This window comes from Homo sapiens, chromosome X, assembly GCF_000001405.40.
Source record: "Homo sapiens chromosome X, GRCh38.p14 Primary Assembly".
In the NCBI taxonomy this organism is placed as follows: domain Eukaryota; kingdom Metazoa; phylum Chordata; class Mammalia; order Primates; family Hominidae; genus Homo; species Homo sapiens.
In genome coordinates this window covers 24,612,125-24,635,764 of record NC_000023.11, presented here as the reverse complement: position 1 = coordinate 24,635,764, position 23,640 = coordinate 24,612,125, and the positions used below count along the sequence as shown (strand labels likewise).

Genomic DNA, 23,640 nt, shown 5'->3' with positions numbered 1-23,640 from the left:
AATCTACTTTACCCCACAGTCTTCCAGGATGGAACCCTGAGTGACAACATTTAGAGATCCAATAGACAAAGAGTCAGGAAAAGAAGACAGAGAGTACTTCTCAAATAGGTGGGAGATCAGAGGTCCAAGGGTAAAGCAATCACCTTACTGGTAGTTACAGTTTTCTTGTAAAATATGGTTTCTGTTAAAGAAATCATCCACTTTGCAGAAAATATCATCTTTGGAACATCTTTCCTTTAGTGACTCAGAAAAAAAGAGGTTTTATTATTGAAATAGAATCTAGCAAATACCTCAAGCTGAGACATGTTAGAAATATCTGTACTTCTATCCAAGTATATTGCAAACCTCCCACACTGCATAATTTGTTCTAATGCTTGTTTCTTTCAATCTTCAACAATGTTTTCTATATGTCTTCTAAATATATTTGCTGACAAAGGAATGCATTTTAGTTTGACATCAGTTTTTTTTTCTACACATTAGAGCAGCTAGTTTTACTGTAGCATGAAGAATAGATGATTTTGCAATGGTATGAGACTTTTGTTTTTTCTCTATTGAGTTATGGAAACTCAAAAAGGCTTCTAAACATTTATCGTTACATGTAACAGTATTTTGTGACATGCTGGATTGAGTATCACATGACTCACAACATTGAAACATTAAACATGGAAAAATCATAGAGGTTTATCTTCATGTTCTGGATGCTTCATTTTAAAATATGTTAATTACAATAACTTCATACCATCATTAGCTAATATCTCAAGGTGATATTTAATGTTATTGGTAGCAGATATTTCTAATGGTCTTCTGTGAGATAATTTTCAATTCAGCTATCTTCTTGTCAGATCAGATTGGGTTGTCGTGGTTGGTACCTGATAATGTGGTGGCTGCAGAACTTTTACAGGGAGTAGAAGGGTCAGCTCTGCCATTTTCTTGTTGTTCACTTGTGTTTGCATTATCTTTGCTTTCCTATTTCATTGCAGGAAATGTTTTTGTTGTTGTTGTTGTTGTTTGTTTGTTTTTGAGATGGAGTCTCACTCTGTCCCCAGCCTGGAGTGCGGTGGCGTGATCTTGGCTCAGTACAACCTCTGCCTCCCAGGTACAAGCGATTCTCTTGCCTCAGCCTCCCAAGTAGCTGGGACTACAGGCATGCACCATCATGCCTGGCTAATTTTTGTATTTTTAGTAGAGACGGGGTTTCACCATGTTGGTCAGGCTGGTCTTGAACTCCTGACCTCGTGATCCGCCTGCCTCAGCCTCTCAAAGTGCTGGGATTATAGGCGTGAGCCACCGCGCACGGCCTGCAGGAAATGTTTTAAGCCACCTGCTGATTTATGTGCATTGGTTTAGTTAAAACTAGATAATATAATCCACAAATACCTTTATCTAGGCTCAGGTGAACTGCAGTATATTGCAATAAGCTGAAAGCAAATGAAAAAATGTCAGGCGATGCAGGCCACCCAACTTTCACATTCCCTTTAGGATACCTCATGTATTTGATGTGGACAGAAATGGGGCACCAGTGTAAACCCATATATCAGAATTAGAAGGCCAGGCGTCATGGCTCATGCCTGTAATTCCAACACTTCGGGACACTGAGGTGGAAAGATCACTTGAGCCTAGGAGTTCCAGACCATCCTGGGCAACATAGTAAGACACTATCTCTACAAAATTTTTTTTTTTAATTAGATGAGCATGGTGGTATGTGCCTGTAGTCCTAGGAGGCTGACGCAAGAGGATCGCTTGTACTTAGGAGTTGGAGGGCGCAGTGAGTGGTGATGGTGCCACCGCACTTCAACTTGGGTGACAGAGTGAGATCCTGTCTCAAAACAAGCAAACAAAAATAGATATTTTTCTTGGTTTTTGTAAAGCTTTTTTTCTTATTTTTTGACATGAAAAATAAATACAGTAAGTCCTCACATAACATTATCAAGAGGTTCTTGGGAACTGTAACTTTAAGCAAAATGATGTGGAATGAAACCAGTTTTAACATAGGCTAATTTATGTAAACAAGAGTTAAGTTCGTATGGCGTATTTCTGGCCACAACAACATCACCAAACTTCTTTTTAAAATTTTTTATTGATATATATACTGAGACGGAGTCTCGCTCTGTTGCCCAGGCTGGAGTGCAATGGTGTGATCTCGGCTCACTGCAACCTCCATCTCCTAGGTTCAAGTGATTCTCTCACCTCAGCCTCCGGAGTAGCTGGGATTACAGGCGCATGTAACGACGCCCGGCTAATTTTTGTATTTTTTAGTAGAGACGGTGTTCACCATGTTGGCCAGGCTGGTGTAGAACTCCTGACCTCAAGTGGCCTGCCCTCCTCGGCCTCCCAAAGTGCTGGGATTACAGGTGTGAGCCACCGTGCCTGGCCTGATTACATTATATTTGTATATACTTAATGGGGTACATGTGAAATTTTGTTACATGCATAGAATGTGTAATGATCAAGCCAGGGTATTTAGGGTGTCCATCACCTTGAGTATTTATCATTTCTATGTATTGAGAACATTTCAAATCTTGTTTTCTAGCTTTTTTTTTTTTTTTTTTTTTTTTGAGACATAGTCTTGCCCTGTTGCCCAGGCTGGAGTGCAGTGGTATGATCTTGGCTCAGTGCAAACTCCGCCTCCCAGGTTCAAGTGATTCTCTTGCCTCAGCCTCCTGAGTAGCTGGGATTACAGGCACGTGCCACCACACCCAGCTCATTTTTGTATTTTTAGTAGAGACCCGGTTTCACCATGTTGGTCAGGCTGGTCTCGAACTCCTGACCTCAGGTGATCCACCCACCTTGGCCTCCCAAAGTGTTGGGATTACAGGCGTGAGCCACCGTGCCCGGCCACTTTTCAAGCTATTTTGAAATATATAATACATTGTTGTTAACTATAATCATCCTACTCTGCTATCAAACATTAGAATTTATTCCTTCTATCTAACTGTATGTTTGTACCCAGTAACCAACCTCTCTTCATCCCTAGCCCCGCTCACCCACACACACTTCCCAGCCACTATCTCAATGATAGTGGTATCTATCATTCCACTCTCTACCTCCATATGATCAACTTGTTTAGCTCCCACTTATGAGTGAGAACATGCAGTATTTGTCTTTCTATACCTGGCTTAAGTGGCTCTGAAAAGAGCCTTTGCTTTTTGAAAGTAGAAGTTGTTCACTTGGAGCTGGTGTACTTGGTGAGGGCCTTGGTGTTGTGAGACACAGTGTGATTGGCCATCTCCCTAGGCAGCAGGCACAAGCTGTATGGATCTCCCTGGAGGTGATCGTCGAGTACTTGTAATGCATCAGGAATGATGCACTTGAAGATATTGACAAATGAGTTCATGATGCCCATGGCCTTCGATGAGATGCCAGAGTTGAGATGGACCTGCTTCAATACCTTGTAAATGTAGATAGAGTAGCTTTCCTTGTGGCTATGCTTGTGATTCTTGCCATCCTTCTGGCTCTTGGTCACACCACCTTCTTGGCACCCTTCTTTGGAGCAGGAACAGACTTGGCTGATTCAGGCATGTCACCACAAATCAATAACTATACTGAGAAAGAAGCCACTTCAACACCACCACACTTCTAAATAAAGACCAAAACACTGCTAGTATCATTCAACATTGAAATACATGTGAGCTATGTATACATTTAAGAAAGACTAATAAAAACAAGATAATTATTTGCCAGCTTATTCCAGTTCAGGGTAATGGGTGACTGGGACCTATCCTGGCACCTCAGGGCACCTGGTGGGAACCAGACCTGAACAGGACACCATCCCATCGCAGGGCACACTCACACACACAACACATTCATAACACTGGGACAATTTTTTTTTTTTTTGAGACAGTCTTGCTCTGTCACCCAGGCTGGAGTGCAGTGGTGCAATCCCGGCTCACTGCAACCTCCCCCTCCCGAGTAGCTGGGATTACAGGCATGCGCCACCGTGCCCAGCTAATTTTTGTATTTTAGTAGAGACAGGGTTTCACCATGTTGGCCAGGCTGGCCTCAAACTCCTGACCTCAGGTGATCCGCCCGCCTTGGCCTCCCAAAGTGCTGGAATTACAGGCGTGAGCCACTGCGCCCAGCCCACATTGGGACAATTTAAAGACACTAATTAACCTGCTGTGTACATCTTTGGGATGTGGGAGGAAACCAGAGTACCCAGAGAAAACCCACACAGATATGAGGAGAATGCGAAAATGCTTCACGGACAGTAGCCCTGACCTGGAACCAAAATATTTTTTTTTTCTCATCCACGTTATAATGAAAGGTCATCGAACAAAATGACATTATTCAAGGATCTGAGGTATAAACACAAGTGTTGCTGTCTAATGGATTGTCTTGCCCATCCCACATTAGAAAACATTGGTTTAGGCATTCTAAATCTTACCATTGGATCCAACCATCAGGGAGAAAAAAACTGTATTTTCAGGGTGCACGTTCGTTTGGCCCCTTAAAGAAAATGCTTTTCTGAACCGCTTTTTGGTGCTGGGGTTCTGCCTTACATGGAAGGCACTATGGAGACAAACATAAAAAAACAGGACTTTCTGGCTAGGCGCGGTGGCTCACGCGTGTAATCCCAGCACTTTGGGAGGCCGAGGCAGGCGGATCACGAGGTCAGGAGATCAAGACCATCCTGGCCAACATGGTGAAACCCCGTCTCTACTAAAAGTACAAAAAATTAGCCGGGCATGGTGGCGGGCACCTGTAATCCCAGCTACTCAGGAGGCTGAGGCAGGAGAATGGCGTGAACCCAGGAGGCAGAGCTTGCAGTGAGCTGAGATCGCGCCACTGCACTCCAGCCTGGGCAACAATGCAAGACTCCGTCTCAAAAACAAACAAGCAAACAAACAAAAACAGGACTTTCTGTACTAGGGGGCTGTTGTTGAGTGTATCAGTACCGATGTTACTACAGTATTACCCATCATACCCTTTAAGGTGGCACCACGGGAGGAATTTCTCTCAGAACTCAGCATCAGGAAAATGCTGTGCTTTTTCCTCAATAGCTATTTTGCTTTGTGCTTAAGGACAACATTAACTTTGTTTTCCTCTTTGCTGTGACTACTGGGAGCTTAAAGCCATTTTTGTAGTCTTACCTTTTTGAAATATAGAGGACTGTGATATGCATTTCTTTGGGCTCATTTCACCCCTGACCTTTAGAAAACAAACATATTTTGACTGGGCGTGGTGGCTCACGCCTGTAATCCCAGCACTTTGGGAGGCCAAGGCGGGCGGATCACGAGGTCAGGAGATCGAGACCATCCTGGGTGACACGGTGAAACCCCATCTCTAGCAAAAATACAAAAAATTAGCCGGGCGTGGTGGTGGGCACCTGTGGTCCCAGCTACTCGGGAGGCTGAGGCAGGAGAATGGCGTGAACTCAGGGGGTGGAGGTTGCAGTGAGCTGAGATCGCGCCACTGCACTCCAGCCTGGGTGACAGAGCGAGACTCTGTCTCAAAACAAAACAAACAAACAAACAAAAAACATCAAAAAACATATTTCTCCTCCTCACCCCAGATCTTGCAACTATTATTTTAAACTTTCAAATTTTATTTTTAAAATCACCTCAAGTTCTTTGGGGAAGGAGGTGGAATATGAATATGATATAACATTGTTATTGATGTTCACTATAAACTTAAATTCAATTATCTAAGAAAAAATTATTTAGAATGTGGAATTTTTATATCTTGGTAAAGATTGTTTTCTATTGTTAATAGCATCTATGCATTTAATGAGTCTAAGAGGCTATTCATGGTAAGTTGCACTTCCATTTCAATGGTGTTACAATGTGAAAAAATGGCCAACACTGATTTTAAGATAATATCTATTGTAAGATCCCTCCTACTCTCAGAGATGCTAAAATGTGGGGAGAAATGTACATTTTAGAATCAATGAAATGTGACTTTACTTATAGTACTATGAGTCTTCTAGCTATTTGATATTCACTCACTGCTGTGAGGTTGGAAAGTGGCCGCATGAGATGGAGTTTGGTTTATAAGTGGTCAGTGTTTTAAGGAAGCCTGTATCTCCAGGGCATAATAAAAATTCTGATCTCTGATCACCAAAAGGGCAGTATGTACTAAGCTGACCTAGATGTGAGCATTCAGGCACTGGTTTACTGGTTTAAAAAATGAACTTATTATGTGGGAACTCTAAATAAAGTTGGAAAATACGTGTTGTTTTTTTTTTTTTTTTTTTTTTTTTTTTTTTGAGACAGGGTCTCACTCTTTCACCCAGGCTGGAGTGCAGTGGCATGCAATCACAGCTTACTGCAGGCTTGACCTCCGGGGACCAAGCAATCCTCCCACCTCAGCCTCCAGAGTAGCTGGGACTACAGGCGTACACCACCATGCCTAGCTAATTTTTCATAGAGAGAGGGTTTCGCCATGTTGCCCAGGCTGCTCTCGAACTCCTGAACTCAGGCGATCTGCCTGCCTCTGCCTCCCAACGAGCTGGGATTACAAGCGTGAGCTACTGAGCCCAGCCTGGAAAATGTGTTTTTAAAAGATATTTAAGATAATTTTTAAACTGTGCTCTTGTTTTAGTTTTAACCAACTTCAAGATACTTATTCTCAACAATAGAAAAATAGGCAAAGGACAGATTATTCTCTGAAGAAAATACAAATGGCCAATAAACATTTGAAAAATGTTCAATCTTTTTGTAATCAAAATAATGCAAATTGAAACAGCATGCTACCATTTTTTGGTCTATAAAATTGACAAAGGTAATACTCAATGCCAGTGAGATGGCAGCAAGATAGGTGCTTTCATACGTTGTAATGTGAGTATAAATGATACAGCTTTTGTAGGAGGCAATTTACCAATACATGTTGAAATGTTCTTCAAATATTTATCTTTAAAATGTTCATACCCCTGATCTAAGTAATTCAGTTTCTAGGCATCTGTTATAAGGAAATAATCAGAGGTTCAGAATTATGTTTAGCATGTTATTTATATTAGTAAAGTATAAATAATTTAATATTCAATGATGGAGAAGTATTTAAATTACGGTTCTTTTTCAGTGAAATGTTTTACAGCTATCAAAATTAGTGAGGTTGAAAACTATTTAAGTGACATGATAAGATAATCATGATATATTGAGTGAAAAAAACTGTCTATCCGGCAAGATTCCAAACTTGTTAATATGTATATATGTCATACCAGAAAGCCTAAAATGAAATATAGAAGGAGTTAACTATAGTTGTCTCTGGGAAGTAGAAAGAATTATTGGTGACTTTTATTTTCCTCTCTTAACTTTCCCAAATTTTCTATAATATATATTATGATGATGATAAGAAAAAGCTATGAAAGATTGACAAATATATTTATTTTATTATTGAGTTTAAAGTCTGTATTTGTCTTTATCAATTATCATTCTCACTCCTGTGACTTTAAATTCCCCCATTCAGCAAATATTCTTAAGGACCTTCTATATGCCAGGTACTGCCCTGGGGAATAGGGATATAGCAATGAGTAGACAGACCAAGTCCTTGCTTTCTTAGAGCTTCCCTAATAGCAGGGAGAGACGGAGCTTAAATATACAATGTTTCCTCATCTGATGACCTGGACCTCTCTTCTACCTGCATCCATGCCCTGAGCTGAATGAGTGAATCTAGTCTAATGGCTTTATATATCACATACTCTCTCAGTTTCTAAACCTGCATCTCTAGCTTAGTCCTTTCTCCCAAACACCAGACTTATACATCCAACTGTCTACCTGACATCTCCACTTGGAGATCTAATAGGTGTGTCAAACCAAATCTGTGAGAATGGAATTGTTAATTTCCCCATCCTTGTTGTCCCTCCCACCCCTAGACCTACTCTTCCAGTGTTTTACCCCTCCTAGGGAATGGCAATGCCATCCTTCCAGTTCTTCAGGCCAGTAGCTTTGGAATTATCCTGATTCCTCTCATTCTTTCACACCCTACATCCAATCTGTTTCAAGTTTTATGGATCCAAAATCTATCCAGAATCTGACCACTTCTTACCACCTCCGCTGCGATCACCCTGACCCCTGCCTCTGTCTTCTTTTGCCTGATTATTACACCAGACACCTCAGTGGTTTTCTTGTTTCTACCTTTGACCTCTTACAGTTTATTCTCAACACATTAGCCAGATGGTCTTGTTAAAGCTAAGTCAGATCATTATCATGCCTTGTTCAAAACGCTCTGATGCCCAGCACTTTGGAAGGCTGAAGCAGGTAGATCACCTGAGGTCAGGCGTTCGAGACCAGCATGGCGAAACCCTGTCTCTACTTAAAATACAAAAATTAGGCAGGTGTGGTGGCACACGCCTGTAGTCCCAGCTAGTTGGGAGGCTGAGGCAGGAGAATCTCTTGAACCCAGGAGGCGGAGGTTGTAGTGAGCCGAGATCGCGCCACTGCACTCCACCCTGGGCAACAGAGTGAGACTCCCTCTCAAAAACGAAACAAAACGAAACGCTCTGATGGCTCCCATCTCCCTAGAGTGAAAGCCAGTCTTTACAGTGTCCTAAAAAGCTCACACGACTGGGTGCCTCTCATCTCCTTTCTTCTGGTCTCACCTCTGGCTACATCTTTTCTTTTTTGCTCGCTTCCTCCAAGCATACTGGCCTTCTAGTTATTCCTGGAAGAAGCCAGGCATGTTCATGCCTCATGGCCTTGGCCCTTACTGTTTTCTCTGCCAGGAATGCTCTTTCTCCACATGGCTCACTTGATCCTTTATATATTTACACATACATCAACTTCTCTGACTATCCTATTTACAGTGATACCCCCAACACTCCCTATTCCCTTTCCTTGCCTTATTTTTTTCTATAACACTTAATCACCCTTTAACTAAAATACTACATGTTTTATGTTCTTTTTTGTTGCTTGTTTATTATTTTTAAGTGTTATGAGGGCAAAATTTTTTGTTTTGTTTTGTTCCCTGTTGTATCCTCAGAAGCTAGAACAGTGCCTGGCACACAGCAAGGACTCAAAAAGTGTTTGTCTGATGTTAGAAAAATGAATTACGGGTAGATACCATGAAAGTAATTTAAAAATTTTTTAAAGCTCAAATGAGTTTTAAATATTCCATATACCTGCAAATCATATCATTTAACAGTTAATTTCTGGATAATAGTTTTTATTTTTCAAAATACTCCTCTTTTCTTAATATAGACCTCCCTCCCCCATCCCTGCTACATTTGGGAGACCTGAGCCTTGATTAAATTTTCTGCATCTCTGAATTTAAAGGAGAGGAGATATTTCTTTAAATTTATTTTTGCATTATGAACATTGCATGAATGCATTCTCATTTTAAAAATAAAACAAAATGACAGACATATATGGAATAAACAATGAAATCTCTTCATCTCTTCTCTCAAAATATTATCTCCTTCCCAAGAGGTAACCCCAATTAACAATTCAATGTGTATCATTCAAGTCCAGTGCTGTCCAGTAGAACTTTCTGTGATGATAGAAATGTTCTATATCTGCATTGCCCAGTATAGTACCCAGTAGTCACATGGGTTATTGAGCACCTGAAATGTGGCTAATGTGAATGACAAACTACTTTTAATTTTATTTAATTTTAATTAATTATAATTTGAATTTAAATAGCCCCATGTGACTAATGGCTACCATATTAGCACAGTTCTAAACTATTTCTTTTTCTTTTCTTTTTTCTGTTTTTTTGAGACAGAGTTTCACTCTTGTCACCCAGGCTGGAGTGCAGTGGCGTGATCTCAGCTCACTGCAACCTCCGCCTCCCAAGTTCAAGCAATTCTCCTGCCTCAGCCTTCCAAGTAGCTGGGATTACAGGTGTGTGCCATCAGACCCGGCTAATTTTTGTATTTTTAGTAGAAATAGGGTTTCACCATGTTGGCCAGGCTGGTCTTGAACTCCTGACCTCAGGCGATCCACCTGCCTTGGCCTCCCAAAGTGCTGGGATTACAGGCATGAGCCACCGCGCCTGTCCCTAAACTATTTCTACACAATTACCTCTCTCTTTTCTTCTTTTTCTCTCTCTTCCCCCTTCTCTCTCTTTTTACTATAAATGACATCATACTAGATAGCATGTATACATACATATTATACATATTGCTTTGTGACTTGCTTTTTGCATTCAACAAAATGTCTTAGATATAATTCCCTGTCAGTACATACGTATCTGTCTTGCTGTTTTCAATGGTGCCTGTTACTTATAACATGTACATTCCATACATAACTAAATGAAAAAAATGGATATTTCTTGGTGCTGAACCACATACTGGGCCTCTTTTTTCTTCTCTCCAGTGACATTTATTGGTGATGACTTTGCACCAGCTGCCTGATTTAAGAGTCTACATAATCAGTGACACAGTCTAAGAATCCAGTGATTCGTGTGTGTTGGGCCCATGGTTAACTATATTATCTATTTTTTTCTGTCCTCTCTATCTTCAAAAGACAAAATATTCTGACTCCACAATAAATAAGGTTTTAAAAATATGTTCAGAAACAAGTAAATATAAACCTAACAGTATGAGGCTGCTGGATTAGATTTTGTGATGTCTTTTTGTAATTCTGAATTTGTGGTTCTAAAGCTGATGAGTTTCACAGCAAAAGGCCTACCTGGAAGAAGTAGATTCTTTCTGAAGTCCTGTTCTTATCTTTTTTTGCATATCCTGATTAAAATGTTCTGTCTTTGTAAAATTCTTTTCTACCAGAGACATTCTTGAGATGGTTATAACTTTAGTTACTCTGGGTAATTCACTTTTCAATTGATTTCTATGCTTCTAACATACCTCATCAGCATTTTCTAGCTAATGTTTGAGCCTGACAAACTGTTATAGACACGGTATTAACCAAGGCTCTGTCAAGACACAGATGGCTCACTCTAAAGGTGAAATTGAAAGAGAGTTTAATAAAGGTAATACTTACAAAGGTATGGGCAGGGTTTAAGGAAACCTCAAGGAATAGTATAGTATCCTTGGCCTAGAAACAATGGGGGATTGCCATCCCCCAGGCTGGTAGGGGCAAGGGGTGAGTGTGGTTACCAGAACCTCACACAGACAGCTCTATAAAGAGGACCCCCTCACAGAAGCTGTGAATTTTGGTAAAAGGACAGAACCAACACACTGCTTCCTAGCAGAGAGGAAGCCAGGGAGACAAATACCCTGAGCTCACTCTTGTCCTGACCTCCACTGTTTTGCACGCTTCCCAACCAACTGGAAGCAGGAGGCAGAGATCCCATTGGTGCAGTCCATTGGGGAAGCCATACAGAAAAGAGTAGAGGAAAAGCATAGAGAAGGGTAGAAAGAGAGTGGATTCTGGAGAGGCAAAAGGGAAGATATTTATTACCCACACATTCTTTTAGTTAATCCTCACAACAGCTTATCCTCCTTTCATAAACAAGGATACTAAGGCTTGAGAGGTTAAGAACCAGCAATTTGCTAAAAATCAAATGTAAAAATAGGAAAGGGATATTAAATAATGGAGGTAGGATTTGAACTCAGGCCTGTCTGACGGGATTGCCCCACTGGAGTTAAGAATAGCTTAGCTTGGCCGGGCGCGGTGGCTCATGCCTGTAATCCCAGCACTTTGGGAGGCCAAGGCGGGCGGATCACGAGGTCAGGAGATCAAGACCATCCTGGTTAACACAGTGAAACCCTGTCTCTACTAAAAATACAAAAAATTAGCCGGGTGTGGTGGCGGGCTCCTGTAGTCCCAGCTACTTGGGAGGCTGAGGCAGGAGAATGGCATGAACCCGGGAAGTGGAGCTTGCAGTGAGCAGATTGCGCCACTGCACTCCAGCCTGGGCGACAGAGCGAGACTCTGTCTCAAAAAAAAAAAAAAAAAAAAAAGTATAGCTTAGCTTAAACAAGCAACTCTGCAGTTGGCCTATCACCATCAGCAGTACTGTGCTAAGTTCTGATTGGTTGATTAGCTTGTTGTCTGATTGGTCCAGTTGTCAGTCAGCGATGTACATTGCATAAGTGCAGGTTCTAGCAACCATTTTTTTGCACTTAAGTAATATTTGCATTGTCCATTGTCCAGTACCTAATAGCTTTTGTTTTAAGTAAATATTTGACAATGTCCAACTGAAGAGATTCTATACATGAAATGCTCAACATATAATGTCTTCTTTAAAAGCCTGATGAAATGTGGCTTTGGTATGATTCTATGGCATAGTTTATATAACCAGAACTTATGTGACAAATGGGTAACATATTCACCTTGTAATGACTGAGTATTTTGAAATCTTCAATTAGGTAGAAAGAAGTTTTATTGCAACCTAGCTCCAAGTCTGTGGTCTGGCAAGGCCCTTGCATATGTGAGGTCCAGGGCACTGGGCCAGGGCTTCTTAACCCTTTATGATCCTTGCTGTCTTCTGCTAAACACGTTGTGCACATGTACCCTAGAATTTAAAGTTATATATATATATATATATATATATATATATATATGTAAATCTCATGTGCCAACCAAACCCCAAATTTGGAATATGGCTCTCTAGAAGGGCATAGTCTGTCTTCTGTGATCTTCACAAGTTCAGAAGCTTAGTTTCTATGATTTTCATGCTCAAAAGAGTAGTGGTTTTCCCCAAATCTGACGTTATTGAAAACTGAACATGAACATGAACATGCCCTTTCAAACGAATACCTTCTCCCATTCTAAAACGGTCATTCTTCACTTTAGAAGATTGCTGCTGCAAAGCCAATTCTGTTCCTGCCTTTCTTATCTCTCTCCTCCATTTCTCTATCCTCCAAACCCCTAGCATCATATTAAACATGTATCATGTGCTAATAAACACTACAAAATGTGATCTGGCTGATTTAAAGTCTAACCTGAGGCTTGCAAATAACTACAAGCAAGTCATTTGACCTACTTCATTAAGTCTGGCCAAAAATATGGTTACATGCTTTTATTTCTTCAGTTAATTGTTTGAGTTACCCCTTCTCTATCAGGAAATCATGTATCCCCTTTTCGAGGTTTTTCCATCCCTATAGTCTAAAAATCCTGAGGGTTTCCTCAGCTCACAGGGAGCCAAAAAGGTAACTGAGTTTGAGGGATCTACCACTGCTGTTGCTTCTTGCTGTCACTTGGTGTCACCTTGAAGACTGGTTCAGTGAAGATAATATCTACCTCACAGAGGTGTTGTACAAATTAAATGAGCAAATACATTTAAAGTGCTTAGTATATCGATGGATACATGGCACTAAGTAGGTACTCAAAGATTTAGCTATTACCTTATGTTATCAGGCCTTAGTTTTATGTAGGGTCTACACCAGAGGATCCCTGGAAGCATCTCAGCTTTGGCAAATGGTGAAGTTAGTTCAGTTCCTGCCCCTCCCAGAAGCCTCTATCTTACTCACATTGTCCTGAAGTTGATCTGCCTCTAGTATATGGAAGAGACAGAACCTAAGGAGCATAGAATTTTTTATAAAGCAAATGATTTGTTCTGGCTCAGAGAAGGAGTTTTTTTTTAATTGTAATCTGGTGTGTTTGGACTGAAAAAACATTGTCTCAGGTCACCGGGCTGGTTGGTAGTAGCTGGGCCTTAACCAAAGTCTTCCTGAATGCAGAGCTTGATCAACTCAAGAAGTACCCTGCTGTGCTTTAGAAAGCAATGTTCTGGACAGCAAGGCTGTGGCTCATTTATTTTTTCATTCTCCCCATTCTGAGCACATTGCTTTATACATAACAAGAAATAGCTCTTCTCCATATCAACTGCTGTTAAAGATAGTCACCTGTGCACACATGCAAACACAAACACATTCGCACATTTAGGAATTCTCTCTGCCTTCCATCTCTTTGTTTCTCCTTCTTTCCTACTTCTAGGCCATAATAATTAAGAACAAAATGCACGGTGCATATAAACCTTTTCTTCCCCTTTGAGTAACTATTGTTGCTTTACAACGTTCCCTATCTCTGTTTTAATTACCAGATTTCACACCATCAAGAACACACCATTCTTGGAAAATGGCAACACCTTATCTCCTCTTTAATAAACTTTGTGAGTAGCACATACAAGATCTCCAAATAGTAATTTATTTTAGGTCATGTGAAAAAGGTTCATTGCCCACATATATTAAAAGGTAATGAATCATTAATGTAAGCTAATCCCACTTGCCAATCCATTTATCCATTTGGGTTGTGTGCTAAAAGTCCATTCATAAGTCAATTTGCAGCCAGGTGTGGTGGTTCATACCTGTAGTCCCAGCTACTTGGGAGGCTGAGGCAGGAGAATTACTTGAACCCAGGAGACGGATGTGGCAGTGAGGTGAGATCGCACCACTGCACTCCAACCTGGGAGAAAGAGTGAGACTCCATCTCAAAATAAATAAATAAATAAAAAATAAATAAAAATGAGTCAATTTGCTTGTTTCTGTGGGTAACTATATTATCTATTATTATATCATATTATATATAATAGTGAATAATAATAGCAGTAATAATAGCTACAGTTTATTAAGTACCAGGTATGTTACACATATTATCTCTGCTTTTCACAACAGCCTTGCAAAATGAATAGCCCATTTTATAGATGAAACTGAGGTTCAAATAAGTTAAGGAACTTGCTTTTAAGCACACAAAGTCAAAAATATTTCCTGCCTCAAGTATAGCTCCTCCTGAAGTGGTAGTGGTGGGTCACTCATGACTTTCCTCACCACATCTGTTGGGCCCCAGGGTGGGCGCCTGACCGAACGCCAGCCAATCCTGGTTAAGGCCTGATTTGAAAAGATGAACTTGGCCAATCAGATTCTCCCTTAGGAATTTGAATTGGGAAACATGGAAAGAGTCAATAAGTTGGTAGGAGTCTAGGGCTGAAAGGCACAATGGAAAGTTGTTAAATGAGTGTTGTGAAGAGAGGCTGAGGAGGCCATGATGGGCCGGCCTATTAGAGCTGAAGCTGTGGGGCAGTGGAAAGCAAGCAGCGGCTTTAATGCAGTGGAAGGAAATGGAGTCAGTGGGGGTGGGACAGAAAGGATCATGTGCAGAGAGCAGCCAAGTTGGTGCAGAGCACCTTCTCTGGGGCCACATTCTGCCCCTTTCCTGCTTTTCCACAGTTTCAGTTCCAGGGTAGTCTTAAAAGAAATCCTCCATCCTTTGAGCTAATGTTAGTGAGTGTCTGTTAGTGAGTGTCAGTTCCTTTCAACCAGAAGAGCCAAATTAAAGTACATGGCTAGTAAGTGCTGGAGAGGGGATCTGAACCCGGGGTTTGTGGATACAGAGTTTTTGTTCTTGTCACTGCACCCCTTTGCTACATTACAAATGCCACTGTGGTCTACCACAGCCTATGAGGTCGCCATAATGTATCTGAAAAAGAACGAATAGTGAACCCAAGTTTCCTGAATCCTTGTCCCAAGTCTTGGTTTGCTTCCAGAGCCCTGGAGGAGAAGGTGAGGGCTAAGAAAATCTCAGATAACTGGGAGGCCTCCAGACAACATTGAGCTTCTAGGGTGGAAGGGACTGCAATGGGGAGAGGGGATGGGGACAGGGGAGGGATCGGTTCTCGTCAGTGCAGAGAATGGGGGCTCCCCAAGGGCAGGGATTATTGGTCTTATCCCTACTTCTATCCCCAGATTCCAAGATAGTGCCTGCCACTTATTTGAATGAGTGAGTGAATGGATAAATAAATGGCAGAAGTGAGTCATAGCCCCTGTCCAAATGTATGGATCATTCTTCAGTCTAGTGTCCCCAGGTTAAGGAACACATCTTAACCTGTCTCCATCTCTAAGAAACAATTGATACAGCACAGTGAATAATGTTTACCATGACTGATCCACTTTAGCTTTAAAAATCACAAAGATGATGTAGTGGTGACTGCAATCACGGCACAGTTCAAAGACTACAAATGGACAACTCTGGATTGCATTTGCCTTGTTTACAAAAACACCGCTTGCTTTGTCTGGAGAGAGTGAGGTTTTCATTTTAAGAGGCTGACTAAAAAATGCAGGGCCACTTTCTGGGCAGGCTTCCAAGTGACTACATCTTTCTCACAGCGTTCCCCAGAGCCCCAGCCCAAGCTGCCTGGGGCAGGGCCTCTAGCCGCTAGTCGCTGTTGAAGCTACCACAGGAGAAGTCATCTGCAGCCTGCCCAAATTGCTGTGCTTTTAAGCCTTCCCAAGGCACAGATAACAGCTTTGGCCTTTGCATTGAAAGAGACATCAGAGTTTGTCATTGGCCAAGCTGGTGTGTGTGAAATATAGGAGATGGCGTGCCACGCTTCTGAGTATGGCACTCTTTCCAGCCAAGTCTCCTGGGTGTGGGTGAGTCTAAATGTTTGAAGACTGCCCTCGGTTGTGAAATGTTCGAAGCTGGGCATTGTGACTTTCCAAGGGCATGACTTGGCGTATTTCTTAACTCTAATGAGCCTCAGTTTCCTTTTTGTGAAATAGGGATAGTATTATCCTATGCTCTAGAAGGATAGAAGTATCTATTCATCACGGGGTGCTGCGAAGCCTAAAAGAGATAACAGCAGAGTATCTCATCTAGTACCTGGCATACTATAGACACTGAAGAGCTTTTGTTATTTCTGAAGCATCAGTAAAAAACAAACCAAAAGGTTTCAGTGATGATGCCCTATTTTTATGTCTAACAGTACAGTATTTCTCTGAGACTCAGTGGATATATTTGACTTCTTAATCATACCTGTGTAGCCAACAGGAATAAAACTTCAGAGGAAGTTAGTGCCAAAGGAAAGTTTGTCAGACTGTATTCCCTTTCTTTTTCTCCCTTCTAGACCCTGACTGCACCTGCCCCATTTGCTGATGAAACCAACTGCCAGTGTCAAGCACCCCATGAAAAACTGACCATTGCTCAGGCCCGCTTAGGAACACCAGGTGAGGCTGTACTTCTTTGTCTTAAATGGGCCCTGTCTTGACATTTTAAAGTATCAGAAAGGGGCCGGGCGTGGTGGCTCATGCCTGTGATCCCAGCACTTTGGGAGGCTGAGGTGGGTGGATCACCTTGAGGTCAGGAGTTTGAGACCAGCCTGGCCAACATGGTGAAACCCCATCTCTACTAAAAATACAAAATTAGCCAGGTGTGGTGGTGCACGCCTGTAGTACCAGCTACTTACTTTGGGAGGCTGAGGTGGGAGGACTGCTTGAACCCGGGAGGTGGAGATTGCAGTGAGCCGAGATTGCGCCACTGCACTCCAGCCTGGGCAACAGAGCAAGACTCCATCTCAAAAAAAAAAAAGTATCAGAAAGGCCCATCATTATTTGTGCAGCACTTGCTTTCAAGCAGAGAGTTGAACTTAGAGATTATAACGCAGTGCAAGGGTAAAGAAGGGTAAACACTAGCAGTGATAAACCAGACCAACCAAAGGAGCCAAGAAAAAGATGCATCAGAATACAGGGAGTTTGAGCCCCAGCTTTGTCACTTGTTAGTTCTACAGCCTTGGGCAAGTCACTAGAAAGATCTGAATCTGTTTCCTTAAAACAGGGATAACAATACCTACCTCACAAGGTTTCTGTGATAACTAGATTCATCAAAAGTACCAAAGCATTTTTAAAACCATGAAGGCATATACAAACCTAAGCTACTATAATTATTGCCATTCTTAAAAGTATGCATTTTTTAAAAAAAGTTTCTAGTGTGCCTTAAAAAGAGTGGGTTGTGCTATAGAAGTTTGTTCATTCATTCATCCCTTTAGCATTATGCCAGAGGATGGATAGGGAAGAGATTTGGAAAGAATTATAAGGTACCATCTGTTTTTCAAGAGACAAGACAACTAGATGTGAAATAAAAAACATTAGTAGCATGTGTGCAGGTGCTTAGGGGTTAAAACCTGCAACACAGATGATAACTGATTCTTAGAGAATGGCAGATTCATTTGGCCTGAGTGATCATGCAAGACTTCCGGGAGGGAGCAGAACAGACATTTTAGGAGAACTAAGATTTGGACTGTGTGGGCAGAAGATGCAAAGGTATTGCAGACAGGTGGAAGAGGAATAGTGAAGACAGAAATAGACAGCTGTGTAGGAGTGAGTGTTGTTTTAGTTGATTGGGATGGGGTGAAAAATAAGACTAGTTGAACAGGTAAACTTTAAGCCATTTAACATGGCATAACTCGGCCGGGCGCGGTGGCTCATGCCTGTAATCCCAGCACTTTGGGAGGCTGAGGCAGGCAAATCACTTGAGGTCAGGAGTTCCAGACCAGCCTGGCCAACATGGTGAAATCCCGTCTCTACTAAAAATACAAAAATTAGCCAGGCGTGGTGGCAGGCACCTGTAATCCCAGCTACTCGGGAGGCTGAGGTGAGAGAATCATTTGAATCCAGAAGGTGGAGGTTGCAGTGAGCCGAGATCACACCATTGCACTCCAGCCTGGGTGACAGAGTGAGTCTCTGTCTCAAAAAAAAAAAAATAATAATAATATAAAATAAAATAACATGGCATAACTCTATGGTTTCTAGTTGCCATTGCAGAAAACAAACAAAAAAAAAAACAAACAAACCAAACTTAAGAGAATCCATGGAATGAAGAACAGTTTGCTTAACAATAATAATGGATACTTATTAAGTACTTACTATGTATTAAGATCTTTATATGTATCATGTCATTTCACTATCACAACTCTATGTGATTAGTAGTTTTAGTATTTCACAGATGAGGAAATGAAGGTTTAGAGAAGTTGTGAATCTGCACAAGGTCATTCACTACTAAGTGGCAGTGGTTCACACTGGAGCCTGCATTAGAATCTACTAGAGGGCTTCTTAAAACCCAGATGGCTGGGTTCCACTCCTAGAGTTTCTGATTCAGTCCAACTGGGGTGGGGCCCAAGAAGTTACATCTCTAACAAGTTTCCAGGTGATGCTACTGCTCCAGGGATCACACTGGGAGAACCATTGGTAAGTGGTAAAGTTGGGATTTGGTCTCAAACCTATTGGTCTTAGAGCTTGACCTCTCAACCATGACACTGTGCTTCCTATAAGAATAGCCTTCAATAGAGTGAAGTGAGGAGCAGAGTAGGCAGAGTTAGGAAGCTTTCGTGTGAGCTGCTTTTGAAAAAGGCAAAACAAGGTTGGGGAGGTAGCACAGAGCAGCCAAAGCTGTTGTTCCCAGGCTTTAGTGTACAAAGAATCACCTGGTATGCTTGTTAAACAAGCAGATTTCCTGTTTCATTCCCTTCTTCCCAAATCTGGGATGGGGCCCAGGCAAGCCATCTGCATTTTAAACAGATAGTCAGGGTGATTCTAAAGTTAGTGGTCTGGAGACCACACACAGAAATACCAACCCAGCAATATATCCAAGGGATGCCAAATAAAAGTCCAGGTGGCTGACCGGGCGTGGTGGCTCATGCCTGTAATCCCAGCACTTTGGGAGGCTGAGGCGGGCAGATCACCTGAGGTCAGGAGTTAGAGACCAGCCTGGCCAACATGGTGAAACCTTGTCTCTACTAAAAATACAAAAAATTAGCCAGGCGTGGTGGCGCATGCCTGTAATCCCAGCTACTCAGGAGGCTGAGGCAGGAGAAACGCTTGAACCCAGGAGGCAGAGGTTGCAGTGAGCCGAGATCGCACCACTGCACTCCAGCCTAGGCGACAGCGCAAGACTCTGTTTTTTTAAAAAAAAAAAAAAAAAAAAAAAAGTCCAGGTGGTTATGAAGAAAACAGACTTGACCTAAAGTTAAAGGGTGAGCATCAGGCCCAAACTGAAAGGGCCTCTACCTTTCTAGGGAAAGGAAAGGGAAGTAGAACTTACTATATATCTGTATATATCTGCTCGATGTGATGCTCTGTACTCTTTGCAAAGACCATGTGAGATGACTATTATTGTATCCTTTCTAAAGAGGAGACAAAGGAGACTTGCAGAACTGAAAAGTAACTTGTCAAGTGTCCTAGTTGACTGGGTAGAGCTGGAATTTGACCCCAAGTCCATTTTGCCTCAAACCCCTGCTTTGCCTACTGCAACGATCTGCCTTATGAATCATGGTCCACAGCAGGCCATGGAGCTAAGTGAAAACATGCTCAGACAGTAGCTGTGATCTTCTGTAGTGGCAGGACTATGCCATGCTCACTGCTGTTTCATCAGCATCTAGAGAAATACTTGTTGCATACGCTGCGGTCAATAAATATTTTGTGAGTGAATGAATGAAAGTTTGGAGGCAGGCGGGTCACCTGAAGTCAGGAGTTTGAGACCACCTTGGCCAACATGATGAAACCCTGTTTCTACTAAAAGTACAAAATTAGCCAGGTGTGGTGGTGCATGTCTGTAGTCCCAGCTACTTGGGAGGCTGAGGCAGGAGAATTTCTTGAACCTGGGAGGCAGAGGTTGCAGTGAGCTGAGATCGAGCCGCTGCACTCCAGCCTGGGCGACAAGAATGAAACTTCACCTCAAAAAAAAAAAAAGTGTGGGACAAGAGAAGTAGTTCTTCCTCTGGAAATAGAAGCAGAGAGAGTTTGTTCTGGCATTTTGAGCTGGTATCAAGCTAACTGGGTGAAATTGGGCACCTGTACATTGCCTGCTGCCAAGCAGTTTAAGCAGTAATAAGATGGTGGTGTATTTTGAAATAATACAGGTCATTAGAGGGGGAGTGAGATGGAACAAAGATGAACTCCTGATCTTTAGAAGAGAAATTCTGCCCACTAACCTGAGGTGATGACCCTGGGAAATTATCTAAGAAAATCCGTGATGTTGATGAGTACCTAGCCAGGGTACTTGTGTTAGAAATTTCTTTATTTAGAACTTCAAATATCAGGCCGAGGGCGGTGGCTCATGCCTGTAATCCCAGCACTTTGGGAGGCCGAGGCGAGTGGATCACTTGAGGTCAGGAGTTCAAGACCAGCCTGGCCAACATGGTGAAACCCTATCTCTACTAAAAATGCAAAAATTAGCCAGGCGTGGTGGCGTGTTCCCAGGTGATGCTGCTGCTGCTACTAGTCCTGGGACCACACTTTGAGAACCACAGCATAAGAGCAACTGTCGGCAGTGGTTAGAAGGAGTGGTAGGGAGATTATCCAATATCATAATTGTTGGAGCATTGTACTGTTAGCAGAAAAGCTCGGAGAATTTTTAAGAATCTTGCTGTTTGATTACCATTTAAGAAAACAAGAAAAACGTTACTTTTTTGAAGGGTTTGTTCAAGAGTTTCAAGAAGGGTTTGGTCAAGAAGGGTTTGGTTTCAAGAGTTTCAAGAAGGGTTTGGTTTCAAGGGTAGTAAGCAATTTACCTGTTTGTGGCACTGTCTTGAGCGTGCCCTCAAAAAAGACAAAACATAGCAGAATTTGGTATTTGATAATGCTCTTCAAGATTATAGTTTTTTGTTTGTTTTTCTTTTGTATTTTTAGTGGAGCTGGTTTCGCCATGTTGGCCAGGCTGGTCTTGAACTCCTGGACTCAAGTGATCTGCCCATCTCAGCCTCCCTAAGTATTGGGATTACAGGCATGAGCCACTGTGCCTGGCCTAGATTATAGCTATAACTGGACTCTCTTACCATCTCCTACACTAGCCATATTTTATGACATAATATAATTGCCTAAAATGTGTTTTACAAATTTAGAACTGCCCAAACAGGGGCTGGGGGTACAAATTCTAGAAGAGGTAATGACAAACTCTGCCCATAGCTCTTAGCTTTTTGACCTTGTTTGTGAGGTCACAAGGGTGATGAAACTTCAAGAGAAAGAACAGAATAAATCAAAAAAGCAATCAGAATCGGCACCTTTGGTCTTAGCTAGTCCAGCTGTGGAGCTGTGCACATACACAGTGTTGTATGTATTCTGATGCATGGAGAATAAATCCTGTCTTGACATAAAGGAAAAGTCCAGGAGATTGTTTCATAGGTTCCTTTTCATTAAAACTGCCTTTCTTTTCTCTCTTTCTTTCTTTCTCTCTTTCTTTCTTTTTTTTTTTTTTTTTTTTTTTTTTTTGACAGGTTGTTGCTCTGTCACCCAGGCTGGAGTGCAGTGTTGCAATCACAGCTCACTGCAGTCTTAACCTCCCAGGCCCAAGCAATCCTCCCAATTCAGCCTCCCAAGTAGCTTGGACCACAGGCATGTGCCACCATGCCTGGCTATTTTTTGTATTTTTTGTAGAGATGGGGTTTCACTATGCTGCCCAGGCTGGTCTCAAACTCCTGGGCTCGAGCCATCTATCCACCTTAGCTTCCCAAAGTGCTGGGATTACAGGCATGAGCCACTGTACCCGGCCCTAAACTGACTTTTCTTAAAGGGAATCTCGGTTCTGATTTTCTACTTTCCTTTTCAAAAAGGAAGTTTGTATTATCTGTTTCCACAGTGTGTAGAATTTCCCTGACTACATTTTTCAAGAGCCGCCTTAATGAATCTGCCTTATTCATGTATCATCTGTGATGTAATTTACTTAATAATTTTTCTTTACATATACTCACTGTTCTAAAACTTTAATGTATTTTAAAAAGCAAACATCAATCACTATCATTTACAGAAAATAGTATCATTAGCTAGTAGCAATGGCTAATGATAAGCAGAAGGTAACTACAAAGTTTATATAAAACTACATAAATTATATAAAATAAATATGTAACTATAAGATTTTAAAAGCTTAACTTGTGCCACTTTTTTTGCACATCAGTTATACAAAAAACAGTACTAGTTGCCATAATTACTGGGTGTTTAATAATAGTTTCTGTTTTGTTTTAAAGACAAGAATTCATATCAGCATGTAGTTTTCTAGCAGGTACCAACAAGGTAGAAGAAAGAGTGGTGAGTTTGATTTGCACTCAAACATCATCGTAAATTGGTTGTATGACATTGGGTAAGATGCTTAACTTCACTGAGCCTCCATTTGCCCATCCATGAAATGATAAGTCTACTTTCACCTGGCTCCCTCATAGGGTTGATGCAAAGATTAAGTGAAATACATGTGTTTTGTGAATTGTGTGTATTTCTAAGGTACTGTTTAAATGCCTTAAAATAGCCACAATCCAAGCCTTGTTAATAGCCATAATCAAAGATGATCAATCACTATTTTATTGTTGCTTGAATCTGAAGCAAATACCAAAAAACGCCTAACATACCCCACAGTAGTGTGAATTTAAACGTAACGTGGTTGGTGATTACCTCCTGTTTGGCTGTATGGCAGGTGTGTGTTTAACTTTTTAAACAACTGCCAAACTGCTTTCCAAAGCGATTGTACCACTTTAAATTCCTATCTGCAGTTTATGAGCATTCCAGTTGCTCTGCATTCTCACCATCACTTGGTATGGCCAATTAAAAAACATTTTTTAGCCATTCTAGTGTGTATGAAGTGTTATCTCATTGTGGTTTTCGTTTGTATTTCCCTAATGACTAATGTTATTGAGGATCTTCTCTTGTGTTTATTTGCCATCCTTGTATTTATTTTCTTTAGTGAAATGTCTGTTCGATATTTTTGCTTTATTTAACTGGGTGGTGGGTTGTTCATCTTACTGAGGTTTGAGAGTTCTTTATATATTCTAGATACAAGTCCTATATTTTGCAAATATTTTCTCCCAGTCTATGACTCACCTTTTCATTTTTGTAAAAATGTCTTTTGAAGAGCAAACGTCATGAGTCTCACAGGCTGCATTTAAGGTGTCACCCCAGGCTCAGTTCTCATCTGGAGGTTAACTGTTGTTAGATCTGCTTCCAAGCTCACTCAGGTTGTTAGCAGAATTTATTTCCTTGTGACTGTAAGATCAAGGGGTGAGCTTCTTACCAGTTGTCGGCCAGAGGCCACCCTCAGCTCCTAGAGGCCA

The 23,640-nt window shown here is 41.5% G+C and overlaps 1 protein-coding gene and 1 pseudogene across 4 annotated transcripts in view; one reads left to right on the top strand and one right to left on the bottom strand.

The window, feature by feature from the left end:
• PCYT1B (phosphate cytidylyltransferase 1B, choline) overlaps positions 1 to 23,640 on the top strand; it is a 114,801-nt gene that overhangs the window by 37,123 nt on the left and 54,038 nt on the right. For all 4 annotated transcript variants that reach the window (NM_001163264.2, NM_001163265.2, NM_004845.5 and 1 more), the window contains one exon: positions 16,681 to 16,780. In NM_001163264.2, the coding sequence (NP_001156736.1) occupies positions 16,681 to 16,780 (100 nt within the window). The remainder of the gene's footprint in view (positions 1 to 16,680; positions 16,781 to 23,640) is intronic.
• H2BP7 (H2B histone pseudogene 7) lies at positions 3,164 to 3,508 on the bottom strand (annotated as a pseudogene).